Genomic DNA, 16,784 nt, shown 5'->3' with positions numbered 1-16,784 from the left:
ACTGCAAGGTGGCAGCGAGGCTGGGGGAGGGGCGCCCGCCATTGCCCAGGCTTGCTTAGGTAAACAAAGCAGCCGGGAAGCTCGAACTGGGTGGAGCCCACCACAGCTCAAGGAGGCCTGCCTGCCTCTGCAGGCTCCACCTCTGGGGGCAGGGCACAGACAAACAAAAAGACAGCAGTAACCTCTGCAGACTTAAATGTCCCGGTCTGACAGCTTTGAAGAGAGCTGTGGTCCTCCCAGCATGCAGCTGGAGATCTGAGAACGGGCAGACTGCCTCCTCAAGTGGGTCCCTGACCCCTGAGCAGCCTAAGTGGGAGGCACCCCCCAGCAGAGGCAGACTGACACCTCACACGGTCCAGTACTCCAACAGACCTGCAGCTGAGCGTCCTGTCTGTTAGAAGGAAAACTAACAAAGAGAAAGGACATCCACACCAAAAAACCATCTGTACATCACCATCATCAAAGACCAAAAGTAGATAAAACCACAAAGATGGGGAAAAACAGAGCAGAAAAACTGGAAACTCTAAAAAGCAGAGCGCCTCTCCTCCTCCAAAGGAACGCAGTTCCTCACCAGCAACGGAACAAAGCTGGACGGAGAATGACTTTGACGAGCTGAGAGAAGAAGGCTTCAGACGATCAAATTACTCCGAGCTACGGGAGGACATTCGAACCAAAGGCAAAGAAGTTGAAAACTTTGAAAAAAATTTAGAAGAATGTATAACTAGAATAATCAATACAGAGAAGTGCTTAAAGGAGCTGATGGAGCTGAAAACCAAGGCTCGAGAACTACGTGAAGAATGCAGAAGCCTCAGGAGCCGATGTGATCAACTGGAAGAAAGGGTATCAGCGATGGAAGATGAAATGAATGAAATGAAGCGAGAAGGGAAGTTTAGAGAAAAAAGAATAAAAAGAAACGAGCAAAGCCTCCAAGAAATATGGGACTATGTGAAAAGACCAAATGTACGTCTGATTGGTGTACCTGAAAGTCATGGGGAGAATGGAACCAAGTTGGAAAACACTCTGCAGGATATTATCCAGGAGAACTTCCCCAATCTAGCAAGGCAGGCCAACATTCAGATTCAGGAAATACAGAGAACACCACAAAGATACTCCTCGAGAAGAGCAACTCCAAGACATATAATTGTCAGATTCACCAAAGTTGAAATGAAGGAAAAAATGTTAAGGGCAGCCAGAGAGAAAGGTCGGGTTACCCTCAAAGGGGGAAGCCCATCAGACTAACAGCGGATCTCTCGGCAGAAACTCTACAAGCCAGAAGAGAGTGGGGGCCAAAATTCAACATTCTTAAAGAAAAGAATTTTCAACCCAGAATTTCATATCCAGCCAAACTAAGCTTCGTAAGTGAAGGAGAAATAAAATACTTTACAGACAAGCAAATGCTGAGAGCTTTTGTCACCACCAGGCCTGCCCTAAAAGAGCTCCTGAAGGAAGCGCTAAACATGGAAAGGAACAACCGGTACCAGCCGATGCAAAATCATGCCAAAATGTAAGGACCATCGAGACTGGGAAGAAACTGCATGAACTAACAAGCAAAATAACCAACTAACATCATAATGACAGGATCAAATTCACACATAACAATATTAACTTTAAGTGTAAATGGACTAAATGCTCCAATTAAAAGACACAGACTGGCAAATTGGATAAAGAGTCAAGACCCATCAGTGTGCTGTATTCAGGAAACCCATCTCACGTGCAGAGACACACATAGGCTCAAAATAAAAGGATGGAGGAAGATCTACCAAGCAAATGGAAAACAAAAAAAGGCAGGGGTTGCAATCCTAGTCTCTGATAAAACAGACTTTAAACCAACAAAGATCAAAAGAGACAAAGAAGGCCATTACATAATGGTAAAGGGATCAATTCAACAAGAAGAGCTAACTATCCTAAATATATATGCGCCCAATACAGGAGCACCCAGATTCATAAAGCAAGTCCTGAGTGACCTACAAAGAGACTTAGACTCCCACACATTAATAATGGGAAACTTTAACACCCCACTGTCAACATTAGACAGATCAACGAGACAGAAAGTCAACAAGGATATCCAGGAATTGAACTCAGCTCTGCACCAAGCGGACCTAATAGACATCTACAGAACTCTCCACCCCAAATCAACAGAATATACATTTTTTTCACCACCACACCACACCTATTCCAAAATTGACCACAAACTTGGAAGTAAAGCTCTCCTCAGCAAATGTAAAAGAACAGAAATTATAACAAACTATCTCTCAGACCACAGTGCAATCAAACTAGAACTCAGGATTAAGAATCTCACTCAAAACCACTCAACTACATGGAAACTGAACAACCTGCTCCTGAATGACTACTGGGTACATAACGAATGAAGGCAGAAATAAAGATGTTCTTTGAAACCAACGAGAACAAAGACACAACATACCAGAATCTCTGGGATGCATTCAAAGCAGTGTGTAGAGGGAAATTTATAGCACTAAATGCCCACAAGAGAAAGCAGGAAAGATCCAAAATTGACACCCTAACATCACAATTAAAAGAACTAGAAAAGCAAGAGCAAACACATTCAAAAGCTAGCAGAAGGCAAGACATAACTAAAATCAGAGCAGAACTGAAGGAAATAGAGACACAAAAAACCCTTCAAAAAATTAATGAATCCAGGAGCTGGTTTTTTGAAAGGATCAACAAAATTGATAGATTTTGTTTATTAGCAAGACTAATTGTTTCTTTATTGGCAAGACTAATAAAGAAAAAAAGAGAAGAATCAAATAGACACACTAAAAAATGATAAAGGGGATATCACCACCGATCCCACAGAAATACAAACTACCATCAGAGAATACTACAAACACCTCTATGCAAATAAACTAGAAAATCTAGAAGAAATGGATAAATTCCTCGACACATACACTCTCCGAAGACTAAACCAGGAAGAAGTTGAATCTCTGAATAGACCAATAACAGGAGCTGGAATTGAGGCAATAATCAATAGCTTACCAACCAAAAAGATTCCAGGACCAGATGGATTCACAGCCGAATTCTACCAGAGGTACAAGGAGGAACTGGTACCATTCCTTCTGAAACTATTCCAATCAATAGAAAAAGAGGGAATCCTCCCTCACTCATTTTATGAGGCCAGCATCATCCTGATACCAACGCCGGGCAGAGACACAACCAAAAAAGAGAATTTTAGACCAATATCCTTGATGAACATTGATGCAAAAATCCTCAATAAAATACTGGCAAACCGAATCCAGCAGCACATCAAAAAGCTTATCCACCATGATCAAGTGGGCTTCATCCCTGGGATGCAAGGCTGGTTCAATATATGCAAATCAATAAATGTAATCCAGCATATAAACAGAACCAAAGACAAAAACCACATGATTATCTCAATAGATGCAGAAAAGGCCTTTGACAAAATTCAACAACACTTCATGCTAAAAACTCTCAATAAATTAGGTATTGATGGGACGTATTTCAAAATAATAAGAGCTATCTATGACAAACCCACAGCCAATATCATACTGAATGGGCAAAAACTGGAAGCATTCCCTTTGAAAACTGGCACAAGACAGGGATGCCCTCTCTCACCACTCCTATTCAACATAGTGTTGGAAGTTCTGGCCAGGGCAATTAGGCAGGAGAAGGAAATAAAGGGTATTCAATTAGGAAAAGAGGAAGTCAAATTGTCCCTGTTTGCAGACGACATGACTGTATATCTAGAAAACCCCATTGTCTCAGCCCAAAATCTCCTTAAGCTGATAAGCAACTTCAGCAAAGTCTCAGGATACAAAATCAATGTACAAAAATCACAAGCATTCTTATACACCAACAACAGACAGAGAGCCAAATCATGAGTGAACTCCCATTCACAATTGCTTCAAAGAGAATAAAATACCTAGGAATCCAATTTACAAGGGATGTGAAGGACCTCTTCAAGGAGAACTACAAACCGCTGCTCAAGGAAATAAAAGAGGATACAAACAAATGGAAGAATATTCCATGCTCATGGGTAGGAAGAATCAATATTGTGAAAATGGCCATACTGCCCAAGGTAATTTACAGATTCAATGCCATCCCCATCAAGCTACCAATGACTTTCTTCACAGAATTGGAAAAAACTACTTTAAAGTTCATATGGAACCAAAAAAGAGCCCGCATTGCCAAGTCAATCCTAAGCCAAAAGAACAAAGCTGGAGGCATCACACTACCTGACTTCAAACTATACTACAAGGCTACAGTAACCAAAACAGCATGGTACTGGTACCAAAACAGAGATATAGATCAATGGAACAGAACAGAGCCCTCAGAAATCATGCCGCATATCTACAACTATCTGATCTTTGACAAACCTGAGAAAAACAAGCAACGGGGAAAGGATTCCCTATTTAATAAATGGTGCTGGGAAAACTGGCTAGCCATATGTAGAAAGCTGAAACTGGATCCCTTCCTTACACCTTATACAAAAATCAATTCAAGATGGATTAAAGACTTAAACGTTAGACCTAAAACCATAAAAACCCTAGAAGAAAACCTAGGCATTACCATTCAAGACATAGACATGGGCAAGGACTTCATGTCTAAAACACCAAAAGCAATGGCAACAAAAGCCAAAATTGACAAATGGGATCTAATTAAACTAAAAGAGCTTCTGCACAGCAAAAGAAACTACCATCAGAGTGAACAGGCAACCTACAAAATGGGAGAAAATTTTCACAACCTACTCATCTGACAAAGGGCTAATATCCAGAATCTACAATGAACTCAACAAATTTACAAGAAAAAAACAAACAACCCCATCAAAAAGTGGGCAAAGGACATGAACAGACACTTTTCAAAAGAAGACATTTATGCAGCCAAAAAACACATGAAAAAATGCTCACCATCACTGGCCATTAGAGAAATGCAAATCAAAACCACAATGAGATACCATCTCACACCAGTTAGAATGGCAATCATTAAAAAGTCAGGAAACAACAGGTGCTGGAGAGGATATGGAGAAATAGGAACACTTTTAGACTGTTGGTGGGACTGTAAACTAGTTCAACCATTGTGGAAGTCAGTGTGGCGATTCCTCAGGGATATAGAACTAGAAATACCATTTGACCCAGCCATCCCATTACTGGGTATATACCCAAAGGACTATAAATCATGCTGCTATAAAGACACATGCACACGTATGTTTATTGAGGCACTATTCACAATAGCAAAGACTTGGAACCAACCCAAATGTCCAACAATGATAGACTGGATTAAGAAAATGTGGCACATATACACCATGGAATACTATGCAGCCATAAAAAATGATGAGTTCATGTCCTTTGTAGGGACATGGATGAAATTGGAAATCATCATTCTTAGTAAACTATCGCAAGAACAAAAAACTAAGCACCACATGTTCTCACTCATAGGTGGGAATTGAACAATGAGAACACATGGACACAGAAAGGGGAACATCACACTCTGGGGACTGTTGTGGGGTGGGGGGAGGGGGGAGGGATAGCACTGGGAGATATACCTAATGCTAGATGAGGAGTCAGTGGGTGCAGTGCACCAGCATGGCACATGTATACATATGTATCTAACCTGCACATTGTGCACATGTACCCTAAAACTTAAAGTATAATAATAATAAAAAAAAAGCAAAAATTAAAAAAAAAAAAAAGAAAATCTCTTAAATCGTCCACTTGGTGTAGCCTATGTGGCCCTGTGCATACAACCTTATAAGGTAATAGGGAAAAAGAAACACATAATCTGCAATGTACAATATAAACAAAATACATGTAAAAGCTAGTTTTTTGGCTTTATTTAAGTTTTTTTTCCTTTTTCTTTCAGGACTCGTATTACTGAATTTACATACATTAAGTGCACATATGCTGCCATGGTTCCAATGCACTCAATTAATGTTTGCTAGAAGAAAGAAAAGGAATGGCAATTCCCAAGGGGTGTTTACATTTGTCCACTGGCCTCCAGCTCCTGCAGGGGCTTGGCAGACATAGGTGGCCCAGGAGTACATAGGATTGTAAGGAACTAGTGGACTCTAAGCCATGCTGCTTAGGACTAGAAGATGGATTCCCCCAGCTGCTGGGCACACTGCCAGCTGTCAGTCCTCAGATGTCAGCTCTTGCAGGGAACTGCCCTTGGCTAAAGAGAACAGCCTCACCCAAGGACATCCAATGACTGGTCCATTCTAGAGTACATATGCACAGCTGCTTCCCAAACTTGAGACAACTCTTCAGGGCCATCTGAGCTGCAGAGCCTCCATGGGGTCAGCTGAGGCCTTGTAGTGTCTGTACCATAGCCCAACTTTAAAAGCTGCCTAAATCTACTTCCTCCTCTCCCTGAAAGTATACCTACAGCATGCTGAGGACCCTGGCCTGAAAGAAGTGGCTACCCTAGGTCAAGAGGGTAGGAGGTCCCAGAGTCCGGGAAAAAATGGGCATGGGCAGGCAGGTACCAAGAATAAGAGCAGACAGGGTCCAGAACGCAGGGGATCAGAGAGAAGATGCAGGCAGATAGCACTTGAGTGCTGCTAACAGAAGGGAAGTTGTTTATCTCCTGCCCAGTGGGAAGTTGCCTATAGGGGAGGGAAATTCTTGGCCTGCAGGGGAGGCCTGGCTCTGAAGGAGGTCACTAGGCCATGCTGAAACCCCTCCGCCTCCCTCTCAAACCTGACAACAAGCATCCCACCTCCCACTCCCCACTCGCCAAGTGGCCTCCATCACTGGGGTTGATAAGTGTCTTTCTGGGCAGCCATCAACCTGGTGACATCTGGACTTTACCTAAAGACCTCCTTCACCCTCAAACACCTCAATCTCTTTGCCTCAGGTTCTCCCAGGGAGCCTGATTTCCCATGAGCAGATATTTCTCTTGGATTAGAAGTCCCTGTTAAAATATAATGTACCGTAAATTAAGTCGAGATAACATATCAAGCCAGGGTTATTATAGCTCATGTTAGCTGGGAGAGGTAGGAGAAGGAAATGAAAGGCTAAGATGAGGGGCTATGGAGGAAAGTTTTGGGTGAGATGCTAAGGTGGTAATGGTAGTGGGGTCAACACAAGAGCACCGAGGTCAGGGGGGCAACAAGCAGGTTGCTTCTAGAATAAAGGACAAAATCTCCAAATCCAACCAATTGCTTCCCAATGGAGCAACAAGCTGGTTGTACCCTTAATTGGGACCACTCCATTACGCAGCACCAGGGCATTCCTGTGTTGGCCTTGGTCCCTGACTGTTACGCCAAAGCTGTAAGGTGCTGGGGCAGGTGTGGGAAGTGGGTGGGCAGAAGAGATTTCTATTAATAATAGGATTACAAATTTACTGAGGAGGCCCCAGACTTGCCATAAGCTTTGTGAGCAGTCAGGGACTTTCCAGATAATATTTCATTGTTCTGCAAGTGCAACTCATCAAAACAACCGTTTCAATTCCTTCATCTCCTTCCAGTAACCACTGCTCACCTGTAACAAAGGAAGCTGGGTGCACTGTCAGCCTATAGGCTTGACATCAGACAACGCGCCCAGGCCTTCCTCAGCAGGCTGTTGTGGACTGAGCTCTGAGAAACGGGCTCATTTTCGCCTTTGGGATATACTTTTATCCACTAGTTGCCCCAACTGCTTCCTGAGTATTGCCCTGCCTGGTAATTTTTCTCTCCTCTCGCTTTTGCCTGGTGCCTGCCGTGGAGGTAATGGACAGGCAACCTCCTTGTAGTGTGCATTCCTGTACTGTTGAGGCTAAATGGCTAATTTCTATCTCCTGGCGTTCCAGGAGGTTGTGGCTGTGGATGAGACTTCGGTCCTGTCAGTTAGATGCACTTGTGTGCACTCCGGACAGAGGAAATGGGGCAGGCCCATCTTTCTGCTGCCTAGGCTGCTGGAAGCTGGGTTGCTGAGCACCACAGTCCTTAACTCTGGTTCTGTGGGGCTCTCTCATTCCTGGATCATGCTATGACTGTGTTTTCTTAACCTCGGTGTTCCAGGGCAGGCCGCTTCTCCATCTTCCTGCTTGAGGAAGAGGCAGCAGCCCCTCCTCAGGGCCAGCCCTGTGGTCTTGTTCTAGGAATCTTTCCAGGAACATTCCTTCAACCCGCCGATGATTTTGTGAGCGCCTAATTCCTAATAGTCATTTTTTGGGTCTGTTTTAAACAGCTGATGTTTTCAGTTTTCTGCAGCTGGACCTCGCCTGATACCCCTTTTTATAGATTTACATGTACTTTTCAGCTGTAGAAGCATCTGGTTTCAAACATTTCCCCAAAGAAGCCCTCTGGAGTGAGAACTAATGACTGTGATCGCCTCTTTGAGATGCACCAATGAATCAACCATCCTTCTTAACATTTTCAAACCCACTGCCCACATTTTAGGGTCTGAGCCCACAGGACTGGCAACTACCTCCAGTGCATGGAACTTCAGACAAGCTGCTAGAGGGAAACTAAGAGAAGTAGTTTGTAAAAGTCCCTACTTCATTCATTTTCAAAGTTATAATTCAAACAATAAATTTCAGAGTCTCCCTCATAGCCAAGGCACATAGCTGGCTCCTTTCCTGCCACGGATTTTTAAACTCCAAAAACAGATCAATGTTGAAGAGGTGCATTTTTCTTTCTGGGGGATGATTTAATGATTACTTACCTTTTGGAAGCAAAGGTTTCGTATCCACATACTGGGGTAAATAATTTGGCTGATAAAGGAAAAATCACTTCGGTCTTTATTCTGCCTGAGAATCATATTTACAGCATTTTTTTTTTCTTTTCCTTACTGCTTCATTATTTTCCACATGACTTTCATTCAGAAAATAACATTTTAAAAATACTTTGAAATAGAGATATTTTTGCTTTTACACATTAGGCTGACATTTTCTTTTCTACCTGCTTTATACATAGGGATGAATTAAGTTCAATGCCAAAGTTGGTTTAATAATATGATCTGGTCTTTTGGGAGTTTGGAGCATCTTGTGAAAATAACACATCCCTCTAATGGGAATGTGTCCTTCTAGAATATTACTACCAAGTGAGGTATTGTTAGTGCCGGGAGTGTACTACATCCCTTAGCTGAAAGAGTGACCAAAAGGTTGAAGATTGTTGCTGTAAAACGCAGTGATCCCAAACCCCTTGGAGCTAAGGGTCTCCCTTCTATAGGCCCTAATAACTCTTGTTCTATGGGAAAATTGTGCAACAATCCATGCTGCTACAGTCCTGGTGCTAAGATTTGCCTGTGTAGCACGTATTTGCTTATTTATGCATTTATTCATTTATTTTTACATTCAGGCTTTTCCTTTGGGACTCCAGTCATCTTTCAAAAAACGTAAAATTAAATCAATCTCCCAGTGCTTTTGCTTCTACGGTGTCAAGGTTCCCCAACCTGGCAGAAAGGACTGGATATTTTGGCAGGGCTTCTAGATCCCCAGACCCAGTGGGAAGAATGACATGTTTCCAATTGAATGACCGGCTCACTGCTGTGCTAATGGATTCTTTTGCCAGAAGCGCTCTGGTAATTTTAGAAAATCAAGAGCTTAGAAAATGAATGTATTGTTTAAAACTATGACTCACTTTTTTTTTTCTACTTTATTTGCTGGTCCATGTTTTGCTTGTGTGAGTTATTCATGTAAGAATGCTTGTGAGCCCTGACATCTAGCTTCTTCCAGAGGTTCAAAAATATAGGATACGGATTATATTACGTAAGGATAGATGTATAGTGAGGAAGGATGAATACAGAGGCCATATTGCATGGTGGTTAAGGGGAGGGGCTCTGTGGCTGGGTAGGCAAATTATATAACTGGCCTCAGTTTCTTCATCCATACAATGGGCATAATGAAAGCATCTACTTGGCTGGTAACTATGCAAATGCAATGAGATAATACACATGAAAAGACTAGAATAGGGCTTGGTCTATAGTGAGCAGTTGGTAAATATTAGACACTTTTCATATGATTAGTATAAAAAGCACAAGAGGAGATATAGGTAAGCAATTTCATTCTTACAGTCAATAGTCTAAATTCTTAAAGCCATTCCCTAGATGATCATTTTTCTCTGAAGGGAGCTTATCATCATATTTTTGAGATCACATGCACTTCTCAAAGCAGTATCTATTTTAAAGAAGTCTATTAGAATAAAGCAGGCTTCCCCTAAAGTAACATGTACTTGGTATACTTATACATGTCTGTAAGGGTGAGCAATCTCCTCCTAAAAATTATCTGTCTCTTTCTATTGTTCTAGGTAAGTTGCTAACATGACATTCCACAGATGCTAAGTGAGTGCTGCAAGTCATGTCACTGTGGTTAAAAAACGATCTGCAATGTTCTCTTTTTAAGGTTATTAGGGAAACCTCTGACCCATTTCCTCAAAACTGTCAAGGTGTCTTTGCCTACAATCTCACTAAAAAACCCTATTAATGCCAATCTTGAAATAAATTGAGAATCCTACTGTGTCTCAGATGCCTGAGCAGGTGAAAAAGTTCCCAAACTAAATAAGCATCGAGGAAGAAGGTTCACTGTTGGTGGGGAAAGATTAACTGGAAGCTTCCAATGCCTGATTTTTAATCACAGGCTGATTATCAAATTGCTGAATGAATTTCGCATAGGAAATATTTTTTTATAAGGAGAAAAATTAACATTGAATAATTTAACCTAGTGGAAAAATAAAAGATTTGCCCAAAGCATCTATAATTTATAAAACTAAACTACCAAACTGTTTTATGAAAAAGGAAAAAGAAACAAAAGATAAGGGTAACACTACTAACACAAACATCAAGTTTAAATATAAGGAAGGTGATTAGAAATTCAAATTAGGTAGAATATCTCTGTTTTTAATTGGACCATTAAAAAATCCCATTTTAAGGTTTTGTGGCAAAAGATGACTAATCCTGAGGGAGAAAAATATTGTTGCTTTCCAATTAGCATGGTATATTTTAAAAACCAAGTGTCAAACTACAACTTCTTAAATTATAACATAAGTTTATCTAGATATATTTGAATTATAACTCTTATTAAAGAAAAAATTTTATTTGTATTTAGAGAAACATTTTAGGGGAATGGGAAGGAAACACTGTTCACAAACCTAGGTGTAGATTCAAGATCATGTGAAATGCTGGGGCAGGGTGAGGCATTACTGTACCTCTCAGCACAGGACAATTCACCTGAGCTCATGGGTCCAAGGACAAGTCACAGGGTGCAGGGTACCGGAGATGAGGCACCAAATTGCAACTCCTCATCTGGGGAAATCTGACGGGATTAAAATAATTTCTGCAGCTTGGTCACGTCACTGAACATAAGCATGTGCTTTGTCACATGAAATTATCAAACCGCCCTGTTGGACATCTCATTGTTTCCATGGCATACCGAGGAGTTATGAAATCAGGAACAAATCCAGCTTTTCAATATCGCTATGAATTAAAAGAAGCCTGTGTTCAAGTGAATTCTAACCCATGGCCGTGGTCCCTGCTGAATTTCTAAGGACAGAGGGGAAAATAAATTAAGGGCATTTAGAATATCCATTGAGTTTAAAGTCCGTAATGTGCTATTCATAACATGGCACAATTCGGAAATCGTGATCCTTTTAGCAATAATCTGTTACTCTGACACATTCCAAGTAGTCCTACTTTGCAAAATAGGTAATAAAAAAATAGAAAACATTTTAGTGCTTTTTAAAATTCCACAAATATGTGGTAAACCAAAACACAGTGGGATGCCCTATCCCCCTTGCCTTCAGGGGAAAGGAAAGCTTGTATTTACCCAGCCCACCAGAGACTCACATCGTATCCGCTGTTGCGGATTCCACGCCGGGGTCGCTCCCGAGTCACCAGAAGGTCCATCTCGGTTTCCCCTGGACTCGGGCTGTTCAGAGACTGCCGGCTTCTGTAGACAGAGTTCTTCATCTGTTGCCTGAAGAAAATTCAACAACTGTTATGATGCAGCAAATGCCCTGACAGATGGAATTCTCCACTGATCCAAAGTACAGGCAACCAATGAAGGGTTTGGATTTGCCTCACAAATCTCAGAATTGATGGCATTTATTCCCAGGATATAAGGGGCTGTAGAAAGAGTGAAATAAAGATTTTTTTTTTTCCAGATGCTGTAATCATTTGGCTGAATTGTTAAGTGTTCTTTCATATGGAAACTAGGTAACTACAGTCAATTGCAACATTGCAACCTCATTTAAAATTCTGCTGATGGCAAGACCAGGGGTTCTCCCTTGACCCTCTAGGACAGCTAACGCTGATGGGAACAAACTTGCCTTTGTTGACTTTGTTGACTCAGCAACCTCCTGTTCCTTTTACTCTTTCTGGTTTCACACGCAGGATTCTATGATGTGTTAATAAACCCTGTAGCTAGTGGGCTGCTTAACATTATGACTGTGGATAGATTTCTTTTCTGCTATTACCACAGTAGATTTCCTTCCGGACTAAGAAGCCATAAACCCAGATGTAATTTGGGGCTTATCCATTCATCCACCCTCACATCCACCCACCCACCTATCCATCCATCCATCCATCCATCCGTCCATCCGTCCATCCATCCACATCTATCCATCCACCTACCTACCCATCTGTCCATCCGTCCATCCATCCATCCACCCACCTACCTATCCATCCATCCATCCATCCATCCATCCATCCATCCATCCACCGAGGCTTCCATCATTTACCGAATGCCTACTATGTGCCAGGCACCATGGAAGATGATGAACATCCACAGTGAACAAAACAGATTATGGCCCCTCCTCTCCTAGAGATTACATCCTAATGAGAGAGACAGATAATTAACATGGTAATTTCAGAGTGATAAGTGCTATTAAGCTGTGACAAACGGGGACTAGGATGGGAGACAACTTTAGATAGGATGATCAGGGAAGGCCTCTCTGGGGAGGTGACAATTCAGCTGAGTCCTAAGTGGAGCCAGTCACACATTGATCTGGGCACAGAGCATTTCAGGCCCAGGGAGTGGCACATTCAGGGACTCCACTCAGCTACTGCTAAAAAATTCATACATTTGTCACCCCTGTATTGTCTCCACTTGTCATTAGAAAAATCTTTTCAAAGAGTGGGAAGTAAATAGCAACATAGTGAGGAGATTGGCTATGCTTTTCTTCTTCCACAAGAGGTAATTTTACAAGTGGGGGTGAGGCTTATTGGGGACAAGTGAGTTCCACACGATCCTGCAAGGTGGCAAAGGGATAGCACTTCCTTCTCACCCAGCTATAAGTCTCCCTGTGATTAACTTGCATTCTAAGACTATCTATCTTCAGAAAACTCTCCAAACATTCCTTTTTTTTTTTTTTTTTGATAGAATCTCAATCTGTCACCCTGGCTGGAGTGCAGCGGTATAACCTCACTGCAGCCTTGACCTCCTTGGATTAGGTGATCCTTCCATCTCACCCTCCTGAGTAGCTGGGTCTACAGGCACATACCACAAAGCTAGGCTAATTTTTTTGTAATTTTTGTAGAGACAGGGTTTCACCATGTTGCCCAGGCTGGTCTCGAATTCTGGGGCTCAAGAGATCTGCCCACCTCAGCCTCCCAAAGTGCTGCGATTACAGGTGTGAGCCTCCGTGCCCGCCAACACCGCCTATGTAGTGTCTCTATTCTAAGATTCTAGCTATTCATGGGTTGAAGGTGAAGAGACTGTATTATTTCTTCCCAGTGACTATGTGGGAAGCCCCAGAAACCTGGCAGGCTTACACATTTTTTTTCATAGACACACAGTAAGTTAGTCACAGAATTACAATCATACATAGTCTAGGAGAGGCAGTAGAATTCTAAGGCAAAGCATTACCCTTGCCATTAGCCTTGGGAATACAGCAGACACCACTGGTTCTAGACCTTCACCATGAAGAGCTTATACCTGCTCAAAGAGCATCTGTTGCCTTTGCTTGCCTATTACCTGTGATAACCTTCCTTTGGTAAGAGCATCATGATGTCACTTGGGGGCTCCCTTTCCTCCAGGGGTAGGCATGTGATTCAGGCTGGACCAATCCCAGCATCACATCCCCATGGCCACAGTGATGGGTCAGGGGCTGGGCATCTGACCTGAGTTGTTCTGGTGGGACTGAGTCTCAGGGCTTTTGCTAGGGAAACTAGGAAAGAGGCGTTCTCTTGGTATTGGGGTTTCTAAGAAGATAGGATATATGCCAGGAGTTGCTGGCAGCCGGTTTGTCACCATGAGGTAAGAGCCTGCCTGAAAATGGGGGCAGCAGAGAGTGAAAAGAGAGCAAGATCTAACATAGGAGACATCATCTGACCCCTGGATCCAGCCAAGCCGAAGCCTGGACCTTTCAATAATGCTCAATAATATATTCCCCTTTTATTTAACCAGTTTGTGCTGGATTTCCATCATTTGCAGCCCAAAGAAGTCTGACTAACTCTAATAACGGCACTCACAAGCTAATAGTATAAACTGTGCCCTATAGCTATCTGCAATTAGAGGCTTCCTTTAGGGAAGCACAACCTCAGTGAGCTGTTGAAACAATCTGCTCCTAGTGATTCACACCTTCTGCAGACTCGAGAGGAATTCTCATCCTTGACCTAATTACACATCGTTTTTGGGAAAAGGCAGACTTTACAACTGTCTTGAGATTATCAATTAGCCCATTTAGAAAAGATTTACTAATAAGGGTGGTGGTGGAGTAAATACTAAGATTAGCAATTGACACTTAAGTAGGTTATTTTGCAAGTGTTAGAAGTACAATAGCGAGAGTGTGTAAGCCCTGTCAAGAACTGTAAATGTAGGTAAAAGTGTCGACATTGAAGTGTATACCAGTCTACTTTTGTCTCGGAGGCAACATCCCCTTAAAATATACAGCTTAAAGGCTGCTGTTTAACATGGATTTCAATTTCCAGACCACCAATGCAGGCCTGGTGTGCAAGCATCTATGTAAAAATAAATTAGACTCTCAGGTAGAGAAATTACCTGTTTTAATAAGATAGCATCCCATTAGGTATATTCATTTCTTGTTGATATTTTGCTATATACTTTTTAAAGGCAATACATTTTGAAGCATACAAACTTGAGAAGTAAGTTTCTTACCTCTGAAAATACTGCTGGGTGGGTAATGATGAGTTTTACTTGCTGGTTAATCCCAATACAGTTTAAGAAAGTAACTCTCAAATTATGTTCTCTTTCTATGGAACCCTGGGGTTCCACAGAGATGGCCTGGAAAGGACTGAGGAGCGGGAGGAGGCCCAGCTTCCATCAGAGCAACTCCATCTTTATATATTATTACCTTACGTGGGGTTCCCTAGAAGCAGGTTCTAGAATGATTTGAGTGTAAGTCATTTATTTGGGAGGTGGCTCCAGGAAGCACTAGCTGGGGAGTGGGGAAATGACAGAGGGAAGGAAGGAAAATCAATAAAGGGTATGATATGGAGTAGATTTGTGTTTTGGGTAACGGAGGCTCAAGCCCACTGGAAAAGTGTGGGAGACAGTTGTTTTAAAAGGTAGGTTTTATTATTTAGGTATGGCATGGCCAATAGATCAGGACAAGACTGCCATTAAAAATATAGCTTGAGGCCCGGCACTGTGGCTCATGCCTGTAATCCCAGCAATTTGGGAGGCTGAGGCAAGCCAATCAAGAGGTCAGGAGATTGAGACCATCCTGCCCAACATGGTGAAACCCCGTCTCTATTAAAAATACAAAAATTAGCTGGGCGTGGTGGCGCGTGCCTGTAATCCCAGCTACTTGGGAAGCTGAGGCAGGAGAATCACTTGGACCAGGGAGTCAGAGGTTGCAGTGAGCCGAGATAGCGCCACAGCACTCCAGCCTGGCAACAGAGGGAGACTCCATCTCCCCCAGCCCCTACACCAAAAAAAAAAAAAAAAAAAAAAAAAAAAAAATATATATATATATATATATATATATATATATATATATATATATATATATATATCTTGTTACACTCACAGATCCCAAGAGGAGGGAACAGGCCATACCACAGGGGAGTGTGACTAATTTTGATTGAATACTTTTGGCAGATTCTGGGGCACAAGGGCTGTCCTGAGTTGTCTGGTACCTGGCCCTGGGGTAATCAGGGCAGACAGACAGTGACTCAGGGTGGAGAGCCCTGTGAGACCATATAGAGCAGGCAGTTCATGTTTGGCCTCTGCACTGGCTGCTTTGCACATGAAAGGCATGTCTGCCAGTGAGTCCTTTACTAGCCTGGGGAGGACAGTAGCCTGGGAAGGACAGTTTCTCTGGGGTCAGCAAGGCCCCAGATGTCCAAATCATCAAATATAGAAACTAGAAAATGTAGTTATTGCAACAGTGTAACTTACGCTTCCAGTTCCCTTGCCAGGGGTATTTATCCATCAGTTTCCATCTGTTACAAACTGAGGATGCTCCACAGTGTCTTAACTACATGACACTTCTGGTTGGTGGCTGCCGAGAAAAAGCCTTTAAGTTGGAGTCACAGATGCCTGTAGCAAGTAGGATGCTGCTGGCCTGGACAGGCTCAGGGAGAGCTGAGGGCATGGACTGGGGCCGCCAACAGCAACCATCTCAATTATGTTATGTACTTTGTGTCTCTGGGTAAGAGTTTATAATGTAAAAATGAAGTGTTCTGATTTTTTTAAGGCTCTGAAAATGATTTTAAAAGATTTAGTGATGAGTCAACATTTGGAACCTAAACTTTGTCTTTTATTTGATTTAATTTAGGTCTTAAGGTAAAATTCTGGTTACTGATTGATCTAGTTTGGATATTTGTCTCCACCCATATCTCATGTTGAAATGTAATCCCCAGTGTTGGAGGTGGGGCCTGGTGGGAGGTGACTGGATCATGGGGGTGGATCCCTCATGGGTTGGTGCTGTC

At 42.3% G+C, this 16,784-nt stretch overlaps 1 protein-coding gene across 8 annotated transcripts in view, besides 1 other annotated feature; it reads right to left on the bottom strand.

Annotated features, from left to right (window-relative positions):
* The window catches only part of KIAA1549L (KIAA1549 like), a 297,995-nt gene that overhangs the window by 43,705 nt on the left and 237,506 nt on the right, over nucleotides 1-16,784 (bottom strand). For all 8 annotated transcript variants that reach the window (XM_047426719.1, XM_005252848.4, NM_012194.3 and 5 more), the window contains one exon: nucleotides 11,736-11,865. In XM_047426719.1, the coding sequence (XP_047282675.1) occupies nucleotides 11,736-11,865 (130 nt within the window). The remainder of the gene's footprint in view (nucleotides 1-11,735; nucleotides 11,866-16,784) is intronic.
* Nucleotides 7,250-7,379: an enhancer, noted in NCBI's record as "active region_4581". NCBI's record gives its function as "activates an Ori minimal core promoter by ATAC-STARR-seq in GM12878 lymphoblastoid cells {active_cell/tissue: GM12878}" and the evidence as "EXISTENCE:reporter gene assay evidence [ECO:0000049][PMID:35858748]".

Source organism: Homo sapiens, chromosome 11 (assembly GCF_000001405.40).
Source record: "Homo sapiens chromosome 11, GRCh38.p14 Primary Assembly".
Lineage (NCBI taxonomy): Eukaryota > Metazoa > Chordata > Mammalia > Primates > Hominidae > Homo > Homo sapiens.
The sequence above is the reverse complement of the archived record's forward strand: the minus strand, read 5'-3'. Positions and strand labels throughout refer to the sequence as shown.